At 39.7% G+C, this 17,156-nt stretch overlaps 1 protein-coding gene across 8 annotated transcripts in view; it reads right to left on the reverse strand.

Annotated features, from left to right (window-relative positions):
- Nucleotides 1-17,156, reverse strand: part of HECW2 (HECT, C2 and WW domain containing E3 ubiquitin protein ligase 2) — a 399,483-nt gene that overhangs the window by 282,389 nt on the left and 99,938 nt on the right. The window lies entirely within an intron of this gene.

Here is a 17,156-nt window from a genome sequence, read left to right on the forward strand (position 1 = left end):
CAGGCGACAATGGCACATCTATCAAGTTGTTGGGGCAAAAAATAAGATGACACAGGCAAAGTGCTTAAAACAGTGCCCAGCAGAAAGTTATCTCTCAATAAATGTTAGGAATTAAGTCTTCTAACAGAGTCATTTTGAAAAAGTTCAGTTAATAACTATCAAGTAGATTTTTTTTAATCCACAAGACATTAAACATCTAACAATCTAAAAAGATTATAGTTAATTTACATTTTGTCCAAAGCTCTCACTGGTTTTATATTGTGACAATTATCTAATTTGGTTACTGATAAATTCAGAAAAGAAGGGAGCTTAAAATTTGGGGTACACAGAACAGTGGAATTCTGAACTGTAAAAGATTGAGGTTTTTCAGCTGGGTGCAATGGCTCATGCCTGTAATTCCAGCAGTTTAGGAGGCCAAGGCAGGAGGATCACTTGAGGCCAGGAGTTCAAAACCAGACCTGGCAACATGACAAGACCCCATCTCCACAAAAAAAAAAAAAAAAAAAAAAAAAAAAGGAAAACAACTTTAAAAATTAGCCAGGCGTGGTGGCACACACCTGTAATCCTAGCTACTTGGGAGGCTGAGGTGAGAGGATCACTTGAGCCCAGGAGTTTGAGGTTAACAGGAGCTGTGATTACACCACTGCACTCCTGTGTAGGTGAGGTTTTTTCCCTGGAGGGAAAAGCGAAAAAAAAAAAAAAATTAGAAGTAATATCATGACCTCAACTTATTAAAAGAAAAAGCTAAATGAATACATGCAAATGAGAAATTGGCCATATTTAATATGTGGAAGAATGTTGTAATGAATATTTTTCCAGCAGTTGTCTAATAAAAATTTGGTCTATTCAATTCATCAAATTGCTGCCATTAAAAAACATCAAACTCAATCAAAATTCCTTTATTAAAGTTAGAAATTAATAGACCATTTGTATGAAATCTTACATGCTTTTTAAAATAAAGAAAACAGTTCTTCCAGGCAGTTCTCAGCTTTCAAGTGTTTCAGAAGGAAAAGTCTAAATGGGATACATAATGCATTTTTCCTCAAAATCCCTTCAACTGTCACAGGGGATTTCATTTTCAATAGAGCCATAATTTCACACAAAGTCTATGCTATTAATTTATCTCCCTTTAATCCTTTTCAAATAATCACAAAAATCTGAATGAGTGCTACATATTTCTTTTACATGAAATCTGAATAAAACTGACAGAAACATTCCAAGCTCCCACTGGCAGGCTTGGAAGGAGGCTTGGAAAGAAGCGGGTACAAGGACCACCCCTGTCTTCTAGGAGTTAAACACCTCACAGAGAGGCTGGGTGCAGTGACTCACACCTGTAATCCCAGCATTTTGGGAGGCTGAGGCGGGTGGATCACCTGAGGTCAGGAGTTCGAGACCAGTCTGGCCAACATGGCGAAACCCCGTCTCTACTGAAAATACAAAAATTAGCCGAACATGGTGGCACGTGCCTGTAATTCCAGCTACTAGGGGGGCTGAGGCAGAAGGATCACTTGAACCTGGGAGGCGGAGGTTGCAGTGAGCCGAGATCATGCCACTGCACTCCAGCCTGGGCAACAGAGTGAGATTCTGTCTCAAAAAACAAACAAACATCCAAAAAACAAAACAAAAACAAACAAAAAAAAACTCACAGAGTACACAAGTCCCACTCATGAACCGTGTCTCTAAAGAAACTTAGACACTTGGTTGTGAGGCACAGAAACAGCAGAAAATTCAAAAGGAGAAATCAGAGTGTCACCACATCAGGAGTGGCTTCAGGCCAAGAAGGGACCTGATCTAGGCTCTGAGGAGCTGTAGGATTTGGACAGGCAGAAAGGAGAAGGAAAAACATCCCACTGAAGTCCCTGCTCAACTAACTCACAATGGTTCTTGTGACATTTCCACAGATGAGTCTCCTGGCTGCTGGTCTGTGATGGTATTACTACTTTTACTGTCCAGTGATATAAAAAGCAGGTTTCACATTGCCCAGTAGCTTTGCAGTCACTGTTATCTATCTAGTTCTTTAAGTTTAAACATTCTGTTACTTATACCCAACAAACTGAGTGGATTAAAACGGTATCTTGAACGGGAATAATTATTATTATCACTATTCATTTTAACTTCACTCTCAACAGTTACTTTTTACCTAATCCCCACAAACATTTTCATGAAGAACTTATCATTAAAAAAAGTATGTCAAAAGAGTCAGAGGAGACCCCCAACTCAGCAGAAGAAGCAATCCAGCCCTACAATGGAGGACAGGGCAGTTTAAGGCCCTAGAAAGCTACCTTCCTCTCTATGTCATGGGAATTTCTGTGCTGATGTGCATCCCCAAATAGAAACTCACCCACAGCACCAGTTAGAACAAGCAGGAGCCAGGGCTACAGCCAAGACAACCTCTATTTGTGGTACATAGAAGAGGGGTCATCTTACGGCAAACTTGATGATTACTGGGTTTTATCCCAAGAGAAAGAAGAGGCCAAGCGGCACTCATTAGGACCCCACTTTGTGAAGAGCAACACAGCCAATGTGAGGGCCAACAAGAGGGGTACATAATTCAGAACAATACAGTAGAGCATCAGCTCACTCCACTGGGATGCAAAGTTTCCCTCTCCTTTTCCAATGTAATGGATAAAGAAGAAGTGGTGCAGAAAATTGATCACTGCGAGCACATACAAGTTGATGGCAAAATAAGAAAGTGAACCCAGGGCCTTTCACACCACTTCTAACTCTATCTCAGCCACACATCTTCTCCTTCTCTCCCAAAAGGAAATTTTTTATCTAAAACCCCCAAAGTACCTTTGGCACTTGGCATAATATTCATCATTCTGTTATAGACATAAAAACAACAAGGAGCAATAATTTATGTTTGGCAGCAAGATTGCATGCTCTTTCACTGCCAAGGTCCTGAGGCTTTCATCAGTAAGGAGTTTCCAATCTCCAGAACAAGAAGTGCTACTGGCATTTGGGTGGAACAGTTCTTCCTTGTGCAGGGATGTGTCCAGTATTGCAGAACAGTGTTCACTAAATTCCAGTAGCCATTCCCAGTCACAATCAAGATTGCCCCACCACATTTCCCAGGCTGCCTCTAATTGTGAATCACTGGATCACTGGACCACAGCTATGCATTCTGTCTCATTGGCTGAGTCTCCACTCAATGCTTAACCAAGCACATTACACTGTGTTAACACAGTACTCAATATTTCCAAGGACAAATTCAGGATCTCTCTCCTCTCCCTCCACCAGCAACCTCTCCAGATCTCCTTATTTCTATAATAGAACCCTGACCCAAGAGCTCTGAGTTATCTTTGACTCTTCCTACCAGCCCCAATTTTCTTTTCCATCTTGCCCTGATTTTCTACTCCTGTTACCATCCTCTTGCCTGAAGAACTCTTAGCTTGTCTCTTAAATGGTCTCCCTCCTTCAGAGCATCCTGAAACTACTTCTACTGTCTTCAACTCTATTTATGCATTATTCATGCTTAGAAATATTTAAAGGACTCTCTATTGCCTAGTAAATTAAATGCTTTGACCTAGAATTTGAGAATTTTTATAACATGACTCCATTGTCTTTCCTGGCACACCACTGCCACTCCCCCCAAAATACCTATTCTCCAATCTGTATATTCTTCCCCAACCAGGTTCCAATCTCAGCCATATGTTTTCCCCATCACTTCCAATTAAAAAACAAAAAAAAAGGTGTCTGTCTGAAATATCTTTCCACACTCCTACTCAAATCACATCAGTTTGGGGGGTCCCTCTCGTGTAGCTTTGCCAACTTCTTTAATATAAGATTTCTTTCTCCTTTTATCTGCCCTTCCACACACAGTTTATACTTGGTTATCCTAACATACTTCTCTTTGTGCTCATTTATCCGCTGTAGTGAAAAAACATCCTGAGGTTGTTTGCCACGTGGTGAGACAACCTGACTTCTATTTAGGGATCCCTTTCCCCCCAACTCTCAGTCCATTAAAATTGGGCGAGGCCTCCCTCAAGGCCCCAAGGGTAGAGAAGAGGATCCCAGCCTAGGACAGGTAGCATATTCCATCCCCCAGCCACAGTGATGGGTTCTTGGATGTGGACATTGTACAAGTCAACAAGACAGTGCTGGGACAGAACTCAGTCCGTGAGTTTTCTTCAAGAACTGGGAAGAGCACTGAATAGGGAGGATGGAGAGCTGGATCCACTGCAGGACACAGAGCTGAAAGGTGAGAGACCTTGTCTTGGCAACAATGCCACGCAAAACCTAGTCTTATACTTGAAATTTTCAGTGACGTGAGTAAAAAATATTCTCTTCTTGCTTAAGGTCCCTCACAATCACAGAGTCCTGCTACACCATCCTTTCTATTGTCTACTGGCTAGTTAAGCAGAATGTCTGATCCTGACTCATGTTTCCCTCTGTGCATAGCTCAACTGAGTTACTGTACATGAGACACATGTAGATAGACATACATGCATTGTACTTGTTAAGTACTGGTACTCAAGAAATATTTTTGACATGAATTAGAGAATAGATAGTTTAATTGTGAGGAAAAAGAGGAGTTAATTTTAGCCCTTTGCAGTCTCTTTAGTCATCACCTTATCACTTGTAGTCAGTAGACACTGAAAAGCTTTCATTAGCAAGTTTCAAGAAGGCTTTGGATTCACAATTAAACTCTTCTGTGAAAACCCATGCCTGCTTTCAGGACTGCTTAAGTACTAGTGGCATATGGTAAAGCAGGTGTTTGGCAGCCAATGTTTTTTAAAAGATCTTTTGAAGACCACAAACTTGTTTATCTTTCTAAAATTAGGTGGAATGTCACAATTTTAGCTTGGCCTCCCCAACCCTTTCAATTACATATTAATTTCATCCTTTTTAGGAGCCATAGGCTTATAGGTGCTGCCAAAAGAGATACAGTTATGCTTGTATTGTTCTAGGCGAAAGTAAGCTTCACAGTTGCTATTTGTGCCCTAGAGCATAAATGCTTTGGAAAAATAAGCACATATGTGCTCTGCCACATTGCAATATTGTGGACTCATTCACAGTGGAAACCACCGGCAGACCATCTCCCTAGAGATCTCACAGAGTATTGCTCATTCTGGGATTAACTGACCATGGTTCAAGCCCTCAGGCTTGCAAGCTCAAAAACATATTGTGGCATTCCTCCAAACTGAATATATCTTCAAAGACGGACTTTCATAAAACAAGCTTACAGACCAAAACAGAAATTCAAAATGTGAGTTTAATTTACAATAAAAAATAACTATCACAAGAATCAGAAAACTTAAAGTTCCCCTAATCACTACATTCTCTCCTGTAGCTAAGCTATATGGAAGACAAACCATGGTCATTAAGATTGCTTGGGTGAACACTGAAATCAGATAAAAAGGGACTTACATGCTCTTACCAAAGGTATTTCAGATGAGACACCTTAAGAGACTGTTCCCATAAAAATCCAAGAAAATTGACCACCACTCCCATCCCATGGAAAGAACTACCTGCACAATGTCCAAGTTCTCACTTTTTCTGTATGCCTTCTAACTACCTTCTCTTCAGGGTGGGATACATAATTTGCAGGGCTTAATCCAAAATAAAAATGTGAGTTTCCTTGCTGAAAAAAATAGGATGAAAGTGCCATTAAAGGCACCAAAGTATAAATTTTTTCCTTTCTTCTGTGTCTCTCTTTCAACCTCTCATGGTGCTTTTAAATTGCTATTAATATCAAACTCCCTTGAGCACAGGGATACTCACAGGGCCAATATGGACCCTCATAGGCATGCAAGGGCCTTGTCCCATGATCAAGGGCATAAGTGTGCAACCCATCAGCTATAGGGCTCCCCCTTCTGCAAGTTATTGGACTGACGGTGCCAACCCAGAGGTGGCGGGCCTGAGCCAGGCATCTCCCCTTGCAAAGGAGCATGCTGCCCTGCTCATGGTGGACAGGCAACTCCAAGGGATTACAACCTCTGTGCTGGGATGCACTCAGCACCTGAATCAGGAATGAGTGGGAGGCTTGCCACTGTTGCTTGCTGAAAGAATGATGGCACTGCCAGCTGGGAGTGGGGACAGCCAGCACCATGCCTACAAGATACCACAGGGTATTCATAGCAGACATTGACCCTCCTGCTCCCAGACTCCAACTAGGGACAGAGGGTAATAGTGGTTGCTTGATGGTGGTGTCAAAGGGAGGCCAGGAGAGACAAGGGTACCAGGGGGCAGGGGAGCTGGCTGCTGAGCATCTGTCCTGGGAGGCAAGGAGGTGACAGAAGGCAGAGCTCCATGCTGCTGACGCATGCTCCACTGTCCTATTGGACTTCACTTACAAAATCACAAATTCAAGAATAAAATCACTAAGAATTCAAGATAGCAACCACAGAGCACTGAGCCCCAAATGCAGAGCCTTTCTGAGTGGGATGCCCTATGTGACTCACTGGTTACACATCGCAACACCAGCTCCACTTCTCTGACTTTTTGTTTCCTTCTCAGTGTCCTTGGGTGTGACACAACTCTAACATGCAAATATAGTCCAGTTTTGCCAACAGCTACAACTCGTTGGCTTACCTCGAGAAAACTAAGGTGTCCCTTTAATGAACAAATTATTTTCAGACTAGTATTTTAAAAGCTAAGCAACATCCACAATGTGTGTTGATTTCATAGTTGTAAAAAAAAAAAAAAAAAAAAGCACCCTCATTTATCGTGTTTCCAACCCTGGTGGTAGCCTCCAAATACTGACAACATAGACAACTTGACAAGCATAACAATAATATGGGATTGAAACATGCCTTCATAATGCATTAATCTCTAATAATTTATTTACTCGATGGATATTTAATAAATCTTGTGTGTCTACATGCCAGGCATTATGCTAAGCTCCATGTTACAAAAATCAAGAATTATACAACTCCTTGAAGAATGAAGACTGCTCACTGAAATAGAGAAGACAGACACAAAAATTGACACTTTAGTTTGATAAGTGTGACAGAATCAATTGCCATGGAACACAAAGGGAAAACATCTAACCCTGCTGAGTGGGACAGGGAGGAGGTTTACCAGACCCTTCCCATTTAGTAGAAACATCTTTCTCAAGAAAACCGATAGTACCTTGGAGTTACAGTCCTTTTCCTACAAACTTTCAGAATCCAGTAAGTGAGAACACACCATCACCTCTAAAGTATAAGTCTTACCAAAAATATCAAACCCTAATTTGCTCATGCCTCCAGTTTCAACTACCAATTTACAAGAAATACAGGGGACAAGGAAACATATTAACCAAACCATAAGGGACACATTCAGCAAAATCCAAACTGTGGGAAATTATACTAGGAAAAATAACTCAATTTCTTTGAATCTTAAATTGCAATGTGGAGGAACACTTATTAAATAAAAAGAGACTTTAAAAATACATCAGCCACTTGCAAAGTGTGGACCTTCTGTGAAAGGTTTTTGAATCTTTTGAGGGGGAAAAAACATGACATTAATGAGACCAAGATATTTAATGAAATTAAGGAACCGTTCATTTTTAGATGTTATAACAGTGATGTATGTATGGTTAAAAAGGCAAGACAGAGTAATGGCTGAGGGTCCAGGCTTTGAAATCGTTTTCTGATTGGAAGTATCTCTTCTGAGACTGGGTAACAAAAATTTGGGTAAGTTTCCAGGTAAGTTTGGCTTTATGTCCTCTCTCTAAAATGGGAAATAATAATAGTTGTTGCTTCATTAAGTTGTTGGAGGTTTATAAGCTACAGCATGAAGAAGTGCTTAGTATAGTGCCTGGTTCACAGTGAGCACTCATTCCATGTATATTACTATTAAGATGTTTAGGAACTTTTTAAAACCTTGCTATTGATTCCACTCAGCTCAGTTACTCTAATATCTGAACTAGGTTACTCCTCTTGCAACTTCCATATACTGCACACTCATTAAGTGTTCAAAACTTAAGGTTTTTCTTTAGAATTTATGTTTAAAATGACTTTGCTCACAATCTCTCTCAGGTTGCTTACACAGCGTGATCCTGAAGGCTGCCCAGCACACCCTGAACCTGCAGGACTGCACTTAATGGGAGTTCACTATTCACTCTGCGGTCCCTCCTCACAGTCACCCTATTCTGCTCCTGCCCTCCCAGCAGCCAAATCCACAAATCCCTGTTCTTATCCTTCACTGCCCTATAGACTTAGATAATACCATCCCAGGAATCAAGGGGTCTCCAGAAAATGGCTCTTGTTCATCTCCTAAACTAAGTCTTTTTGGGTACAACCTATTTTGGTTCATACATTCACCCCCTAATACACCCCATGCCAGGCACCGCCCTCCCCAACCCCGGGGAGTGGCAAGTTCATACTTCATTCACTCCACATGCCAAATCACAGAGGACTCCGAATGTACAGGCAGGACTTTCAACTTCATCTTGAAAACTATGAAAGTGATGGAGGGATTCAAGCATGAAAGTTAAAGATTCAATGCGGTAAGCAACCCTCCGGCTGTACTTTGGGTAGGTAGCAAGATGAAACTGTTAGAGGTTCTGTTGCAGGATTCTAGGTCAAAAGTGAGGCAAGTCTGAATCAACCCAGTATGGTTGGAGAGCAGGGGAGAAGAGGACAGAGTTATCAGTCAGCAAGGAGGAAGGGCCAACAGGGCTGAGTGTGATTACTGAGAGGAGGAAAAGTCCAGAATAACTCCCCACTTTCTTAAGAGTGGGATCACAAGAGAAAGAGCCATTGGAGAAAAGAAAATATCAAAAAAAGAAGAGTTCTATTGGAGCACCGAGTGTGAGGTATCTGTGAAATACTGAAGTGGGGGTCTCCAGAAAGGTGTGGCTTAGAGAAGCTGAGTTGGGAGCATAGCACACAGCTGAAACCAGAAAAAGAAGAATATCAGGTCAAAGACAAAACATGGTAGAACATTGTCTTGGTCCGTTTTACTGCTATAACAAAATACCTAAGACTGGGTAATTTTAAAAGAACTGAAATTCATTTCTCACAGTTCTGGAGGCTGGACGACCAAGATCAAGGTCCCAGCAGGTTTGGTGTCTAGTGAGGGCAAGGTCTCTCTGCTTCCAAGATGGTGCCTTGTTGTGTCCTCACAGGTGGAGGTGGAAGGCAGGGGGATGAGACAGCAGAGACGGCTCTGCACCCTCATGACTTACCTCCTATAGGCCCCACCTCTTAACATTATCACATGGTGATTAAGTTTCAACACCAAATTTTGGGTGATATCCAGACCATAGTAAACATCAACACATAACAAGGGGACCGAGGAAGGCGTGTTTAGGAAAGCTACTGGGAAGGAACTGGCCAGAGACATGATCATAAGGAAAATAAGATGATGTATCACCATAAAAGCCAAGGCTTACAAAAGTAATTCGTAAAACAATAAAAATGAGGGTAAAGAAGAAAAATGTGATCAAAAGTGTGAGGGAGGAAGATATTTAGAAAAATAAAATGGAGACCCAGGCATGGTACCACGCATCTGTAGTCCCAGCAACTCAGGAGGTAGACACTTTCAAAACACAGGAAGCTATTCCCTGAATCAATTCAGAATTAGCTTGCATCATACATACCACACTATTCGTAACTCTTACCAATACCAAATATGGCACCTATAATTTCCCCACTATATCTCACAAAAATAGTGTGAGAAACATGGCAATTTTTGTGGGTTTTGTAAAGGGTCTGGTGATAGTCTAGATTGGGATACTGGCTACGTGGAACATGTCTGGTAGGAAAGTTATGAATAAGGAAGGAAGGAAGCTTAATAGAAGGGCAAAGAGCAATTCTAAACGTGAGAAAATGTTCTAGAAGTTCTAGCTGGAGCGTTTACATGGAGTCACAACATTTCTCTATGCAAACTAAATGGTATTTTCACAGCTCTCCAGAGCCTCCCTGCTGAGCTGCTTGCATGTTTCCTAACCTTGATGTCAGCCAGTGGGACTAGCAGTTACACAGAGCTTCTCATTATGTCAGTGAACAGGGAGGGTGGCCAAGCTTCACATGGTCACGCACTACAGATGCAACCCCCCTGGGCTCAGAGAAAAACTATGATTCTGGAAAACCCTCAAGCCCATGCATTATTCCAGCATTATACACAGGAGTGACCCTAACAGAAAAGACAAAGAAGTGGCAACACTGAGCCTCCTCTATGGGCCCGGGGTGTGGGTGGCAGCCCTCCCCTGGAAGAGACAGAAATGGGAAGAAGACACAGGGAATGAAGCTCCCTTAATTATTACTGCAAACTTGGACTATTTTTAGAGAGGTTTAATGAATAGAATGATATTTTAACCTAGTAACAAAGACTGGGACCCGGCATCCAAGGGAACTATTAAACAAGAATAGAAATCCTCAGTGTCCACCTCTTATCCATGTGATTCCAAATATAAGCTTAGATAATTTTAAGCAGCTTCACCTCTATTCACTAAAATTAGGAAAGCAGAGCTAATATTAAATCTTCAAACTAGGATTTAATGGAAAGCCGAGGCAGGAGGATCACTTGAGCCTAGGAGATTAAGACCAGCCTGGGCAACATAGTGAGACGCTGTCACTACAAAAAACTTTTTTAAAAATTAGCCAGGCATGAGCCAGGCATGGTGGCACACATCTGTAGTCCCAGCTACTTGGGAGGCTGCGGCAGGAGAATCGCTTGAACCCAGGAGACGGAGGTTGTGGTGAGCCAAGATCGCACCACTGCACTCCAGCCTGAGCAACAGATTGAGACTCTGCCTAAAAAAAAAAAAAAAAAATTAGCCAGGCATGGTGGCTTCCACCTGGAGTCCCAGCTACCAGGAGGCTGAGGTGGGAGGATCACTTGAGCCCAGGATGTTGAGGTGGCAGTCAGCCATGCTGTTGACACTGCACTTCAGCCTGTGTGACAGAGCAAGACCCTGTCTCAAAAACAAACAAGCAAAATAACAAGGACTTAAATAAACTTCTATTATTGCCCAAGTGGTGCCATGAGCTGTGGGTAATTATCGCTCCATCCCCAATCTCTGGATGATAATGCTCAAGTTAGATCATGAAGAAAGGCTCCCTGTTTATTTCTGGGAAAATGTAACCTTATCCAGACCTTGCTTACTAATGTTCCAATGTGCTGATGTTGAGACTTTACCCCTGCCATGGAACCACACCCCACTCTCCAGGGAAAGAAATTGGCCTATTTGGTCACAGCACCAGCAGAAGGGGTGCCTCGCATTACATCCCACACCGAGCAATGCTTTGTTAGATAATTTGACTCTGACACACACGGTCTTCTAAGAGAACAGCCAAAGACTGCATGGATTTAACCATCTCAAAACTGTAGTACTGACCCTAAATGCATGACTCAAACATTTTGATATAGTTGTTAAGATGAAATTTCCACATAAAAACAGCAATGCTATTAGATCAGCATATTTACTAGGCAGTATTCCCAAGGGTACAGTATCAATGACATCTGTCCAGAATGCAACATCTTTATAACAGGAGTCCTTAGGTCTTTCAGGACATTTCTATTTTTAAATTTGCTGGCTAATAAGAACAAACCTTAGTTAAAAATAACAAGAATAAAGCAAAGCTCTAGAACTACAAATTAACAGTTGAGATAGCTTCAAAGACTATGATGTTTTTGAAATTCCACTTACTGTGCTTCCTTTTTAAAATGAGAATCTGTATGTGTGTATTCCAAGATAGGGGATTATTCAGTAAGACTGTCATTACCACACTAAGCAATGGATCTACAAGCATAGAAGTCAGCTTGCTAATATTCTCCAAGGTGTCTATTATGATCCCATTTCTCAAAGGCGTATGGTAGGGAAGAGGACCATATCCTTCTTATATTCAAAACAACATAACATTTACTTCCCCTCTTACAATAAAAACCAGTAAGAGTTAAGATATATCACATTATATTTCTGACAAATATTTCCACCCACATGTAAATAGCTCTTTTAAAAGAGATCAAGACCAGAAAAAAGTCTCAAAGCATAGACACAAAACAGCAATTCTTTCTCTTTCTTCTTTATCTTTCTGAATTGACTAACTGAATGACAATGAGCTCTATTCCCTTTATGGTAAGCAGGGAAAATCATTAAAGTAATGTTACAGAAGGAGATGTAATGGCATGGAGAAATGTTTATTCCACTATACCACTATATCTTGTTAAAATAATAAAGAGCACATTTCAAAACAACATATACAATGAGATACTAATTTTATCATGAAGAATGAATACACACACACACACACACACACACACCCCACATAAAACATACCTGATTCCATAAAACTCTAAGGGGGAAAGGAATAAAATTTATCCAAAAAGTTATCTCTAAATGGCTGAATTCCTAATACAGTTTTTTTATTTTTACTTTTCCTACTTTTCTACAATGACCATGATTTTTAAGGTCAAAATAGGATCTAGCCTCACACAGGATATTGTAGAAACTAAATGAGATTATATCTGAGAAGAGCACAAAACTCAGTGCCTACACATAAGAAGCACTCTATAAACATTAACTTAAAAATTCCATGCATAAAATGCATACATAGAAGTAAGTTAAAAGCAAAGGGAAAAATATTACCTACACATACTATGCTATATTAAAATGTATATACTAACTAAAACAAAAAAGAGACTTGGGAGTAACACGAATAGAGTTAGTTACCTTTTGTTCTTGTAGTCTTATTTAAATTACAGAAAGAGGATCTCAAAAAACATGGAATTTACAGAGGTAATAAGTCCTTGGCATTGTTTTGCTTTGTTAATCAGAAGACAGCATGAGGTCATAAATTAGTAGGCTTATAGAAGCGTATACTGAACATATTTTTAAATAGTGCTTTGTTTTTATGCTAGACTAGAAACTGTGAGGAGGTTTTTCAAGGACTGAAAGAGAGAGAGATATATAACTCCCCTATTATAACAAAGCTATCATTTTCTGCAACAAAGTACTGTTTTTCTTCTAAGGTCCTCAAAGCTATTTATTCCCAAAGACACTATTATAATTCAGTGGTGTGCTGGAGGACACAGCTAAATTCAACAGGGACTAATGAGTGACCAGAAGAAAGACCAAAGAACCCACATCATGGTTCCACTCTATAATGAAAGTCCCACAGGGTTAACATACTCCAAATCCTTTCCTTCCAATCATTAAACTAAAAAATTCCAAAGAAAAACATCCCTGGCGTGTGAAGGAACAGACCACAAGCCTGTTTCAAATACTTACCCTTAACACACTCAAGTTTGCCATTTTAAGTCTGGGATGGCCCATCCACTTGGCCCCAGACTTGGGAAGTAGGTCTTTTACTAAGGAAATAACCCAAAGAGAAGTGGGAAGGCAGCAGCACAGCAAAAGGTAAAGAATGGGAATGCACTGTCCCCTACTTTCTTCTGTTCAGTGGATGACACTTTAGCCTCCATTATCATATCTGAGGTTACTCTGCAGAGAACACTACAGAGAGGGAAGTGCCAGGTGACCAAGAAGAATGTGGTCATTGAAGACTGGGGTGGCCAAGGGACCTAAACAGGTCTACAAAGTAAGAGGCAGAAACAAATTTCAAAGCCAAAGCTATCTGACTCCATATGGGAGCTCCTCCATACTGCATAATGTCCATGCCACTCTCCACTATGACCACTGCAAAGCAAGAGGAGATGTCAGAAGCCTTACCTTCCCACACTCAGCCACTGTGGGAGATGGCTAATGGACCCCCACCCCTCAAAAAACAACAGAGGTGCCCAATTGCCCGGCAAACTCCATTTGCCCTCTGGGCTTGGCCCTCCTTGGGAAGGATTTTATTTAACTACACTTGATAAGCTCTGAAAAACCAACAACTAAACCCAAATTAAACAAAACAACAACAAATTAAAAGAGGGGTTATTCAAAGGTTGTCCCTCTTTCCCTCCATTTTATTTTCTCTCCCTTTTTTGTTTCATCTTTCTCGTGAAATCAGCCACACTATCTGTCACCTGACAATGACAGGAGATATATCTGTGCACAAGCTAAACTCATTCACAAAGATGCTCTCATTTGATCCAAAATGAGACTTCAAAGACTCTAAAAAGTTATTCCAACAAGAAGAACCCTCACATACTGGTGAAAATGGTGGTGGAAATGCAAGACAGAAAAGTCACTCTGGAAAATAGGCAGTTTCTTAAGAAGTTAAACATACATTTACCATAAAGCCCAGCAATCCCACCCCTAGATATCTATCCAAGAGAAATAAAAACATATGTTCACCCACATAAAAACTTGTATATGAAAGTTCACAGCAGCATTATTTATAAGGCCAAAAAGTAAAAACCAACCCAAATGTCCATGAACTGGTGAATGATTAAACAAAATATGGTTTGTCCATAAAATGGAATACTATTCAGCCATATAAAGGAAGGAAGTAGTGATACATGCCACAACATGAATGAACCTCAAAAACATCATGCTAAGTGAAGAAAGCCAAAACCAAAATACCATATATTGTATGATTCTAGTTATAAGAAATATTTAGAAAAAGCAAATCTAGAAAGACAGAAAGTAGATTCGTAGTTGTTTGGGACTGGGGGTGGGAAAATAATTAACTGTAAAAGGTCATGAGCAATTTTACTGTGGTGATGAAAATGCTCTAAAACTGGATTTTAGTCATGCTTATACAACTCAGAGAATTTACTAAAAACTACCAAATCACGCACTCAAAATACATAAATTTTATGTTATATAAATCATACCACAATAAAGTTGTAAGAAAAGTGTGAGTACACAGACCATTTAAAAATAAGGTTTATTCCACTCCTACTATACTGAACAAACTTAAAATATAATGGAATGTTGGCGGGTGCAGTGGCTCACACCTGTAATCCTAGCACTTTGGGAGGCCAAGGTGGATGAATCAGATGGATCACTTGAGGCCAGGAGTTCAAGACCAGCCCTGCCAACACGGTGAAACCCCATGTCTAAAACAAATACAAAATCATATATATATACACACACACACACACACACACACACACACACACACACGTGTGTATGCATATATTGTGTGTATATACACACATATATACACACTTAGGTATATTAGGTGTGTGTATATATATATATACACATATATATATATACACACACACACACACACACACACATATACACACATATATATGTATATATGGATAAGCCTAAAATAATATATACACATAGATATGTGTGTATATATACATATATATTAGAATGTTAACATTTAAAATTAAAAAACAGAAAGTTTAAGCCTTCTGACTAATTTATTAACAAAGAGCTTTGTGTCTTTAAGGAAAGAAATCCAATCACACTTAATCAAAACTAGTTTTCAAGATGTTGTCAGATAGTTGATATAACTTAAAATAATAAAGATATCATTTGCAAATGGTCTCAAATCTAATCTCTTCCGTATTATAATTCTCTACATACTAGTACAATAATTAAAGAAAAAAAATTTATTTCCAAGTACATGATTGGCTTCTGAGATAAAGATAACAATTACAAAGCACTATAATTCCAGATCAGCTCTTCTAAGATTTCATTTAAAGTGAATATAATAGTGACAGAACAAAAAGAGAAACAATTTTGTAAAAATTTTTTTCAAATAAGTAAGTTATATCTCTGAATCTGAGTGAACACTTAAAATCTTGATTTAAACATAGTATACACCACCATTTAATGTTTAAAATAAAAATATACAATCTCTTACAAAACAATTTAACATAGTCAAAAATGTTGCAATGTAAATAGAGAAAAACAAAGGTTTATTTTTTAGAGTTACACTCCTCAGTACAAAACCTGCAGATTGTCACAGAATGCTCCAGGGACAAAGGGGACGCCACAGTGAGCAAACCAAGTGTCACTTTGTTACCCAACAGACATCAACATCTAGCCTGGACCGTCATCCAGACCATGGGTTCCCATGATGCCAGTCCACTAGACAGAGTTATGGTGACCTCCTGCCCCTCACTAAAAATCTCCAATGTAAGTTACTCCCACAAACCACAGGGAAAATGCCCAGTGCCATGTGGAATGCCCAAACCTGCAACAACTTATGGAAGAGTAAATAGGAAAAAAAATTCACATAGTCCATAAAGTGTCAGCCTGTTAAAGAACAGATTATCAAACTGAAGTTATTAAACTCTCCTGCAAATTCATCCTCAGTCAGAGGACAAAGGATTGTGGGGGAAAGGGGCGGGAGTGGAATCCTTATGAAATACTTGTTTCTTTCTGAGGTGTTAATTCAAAGATACCATTGTTATTACCAAAGTATTCTCTTTCCTGAATTTAAAAGAAAATTTGGGGGGAAAAAAACTGTACTCAAAAGAGTAATATCAGTAGTGGCAAGTAAGTGTTGTCACAGCTTTTACTGTCTTCATCAGCTTGAATTTTGCAAGACATACCTTTGAAGTAGTCAGAAAAACTGCTACTTTAACAAAAATTTCATAAACAAAATTCAACAGACTCATTTTTTTTGACAAAAACAACAAAGGCTTTTCAAGTTTGTGATGTTAGAGAACAGAGATGTTAACTTTAATAAACGTCTTGAGTCTTAAAAATAAATAGACAAAAACACTGCTGTAAAGTTATAGGGGGAATAGAATAGAGATGGCTGACTGAAATATGTACATTCAGGATATTTCAGAAGAATCTGCCTATTTCTAATAAGATCGAAATTGGATAACACAGGCTAGACATGGTGGCTCATGCCTGTAATCCGAGCACTTTGGGAGGCTGAGGTGGGAGAATCTCTTGAGGCCAGGAATTCAAGACCAGCCTGGATAACACAGCAAGACCTTATCTCTACAAAACATTTTAAAAATTAGCTGAGCATGGTAGCATCACCTGTAGTCCTAGCTATGAGGAAGGCTGAGGTGGAGAATCACTTGAGTCCAGGAGCTCAAGGCTGCAGTGAGATGTGACTGCACCATCGCACTCCAGATTGGGCAACAGGCTCAGAGACCCTGTACTGAGACCCTGTCAGAACAACAACAAAAAAGCACAGAAAAAAATTAGATGACATAAACAGAAACTCAGATATATCTTTGCCACTGATGAAAATACTTGTTTTTAACTATTGAGTCTGTCAGTGTATTAGATATTATCCATCTCTTTTTTTAAAGTATATTTTTTAAAGCAGTATGATGTAACTCTCACAGCAAACAAATTCAAAAATGAATAAGTAGACTGATTCACCACAAATTAAAAGTGATCAGTT

This window comes from Homo sapiens, chromosome 2, assembly GCF_000001405.40.
Source record: "Homo sapiens chromosome 2, GRCh38.p14 Primary Assembly".
Taxonomy (NCBI): domain Eukaryota; kingdom Metazoa; phylum Chordata; class Mammalia; order Primates; family Hominidae; genus Homo; species Homo sapiens.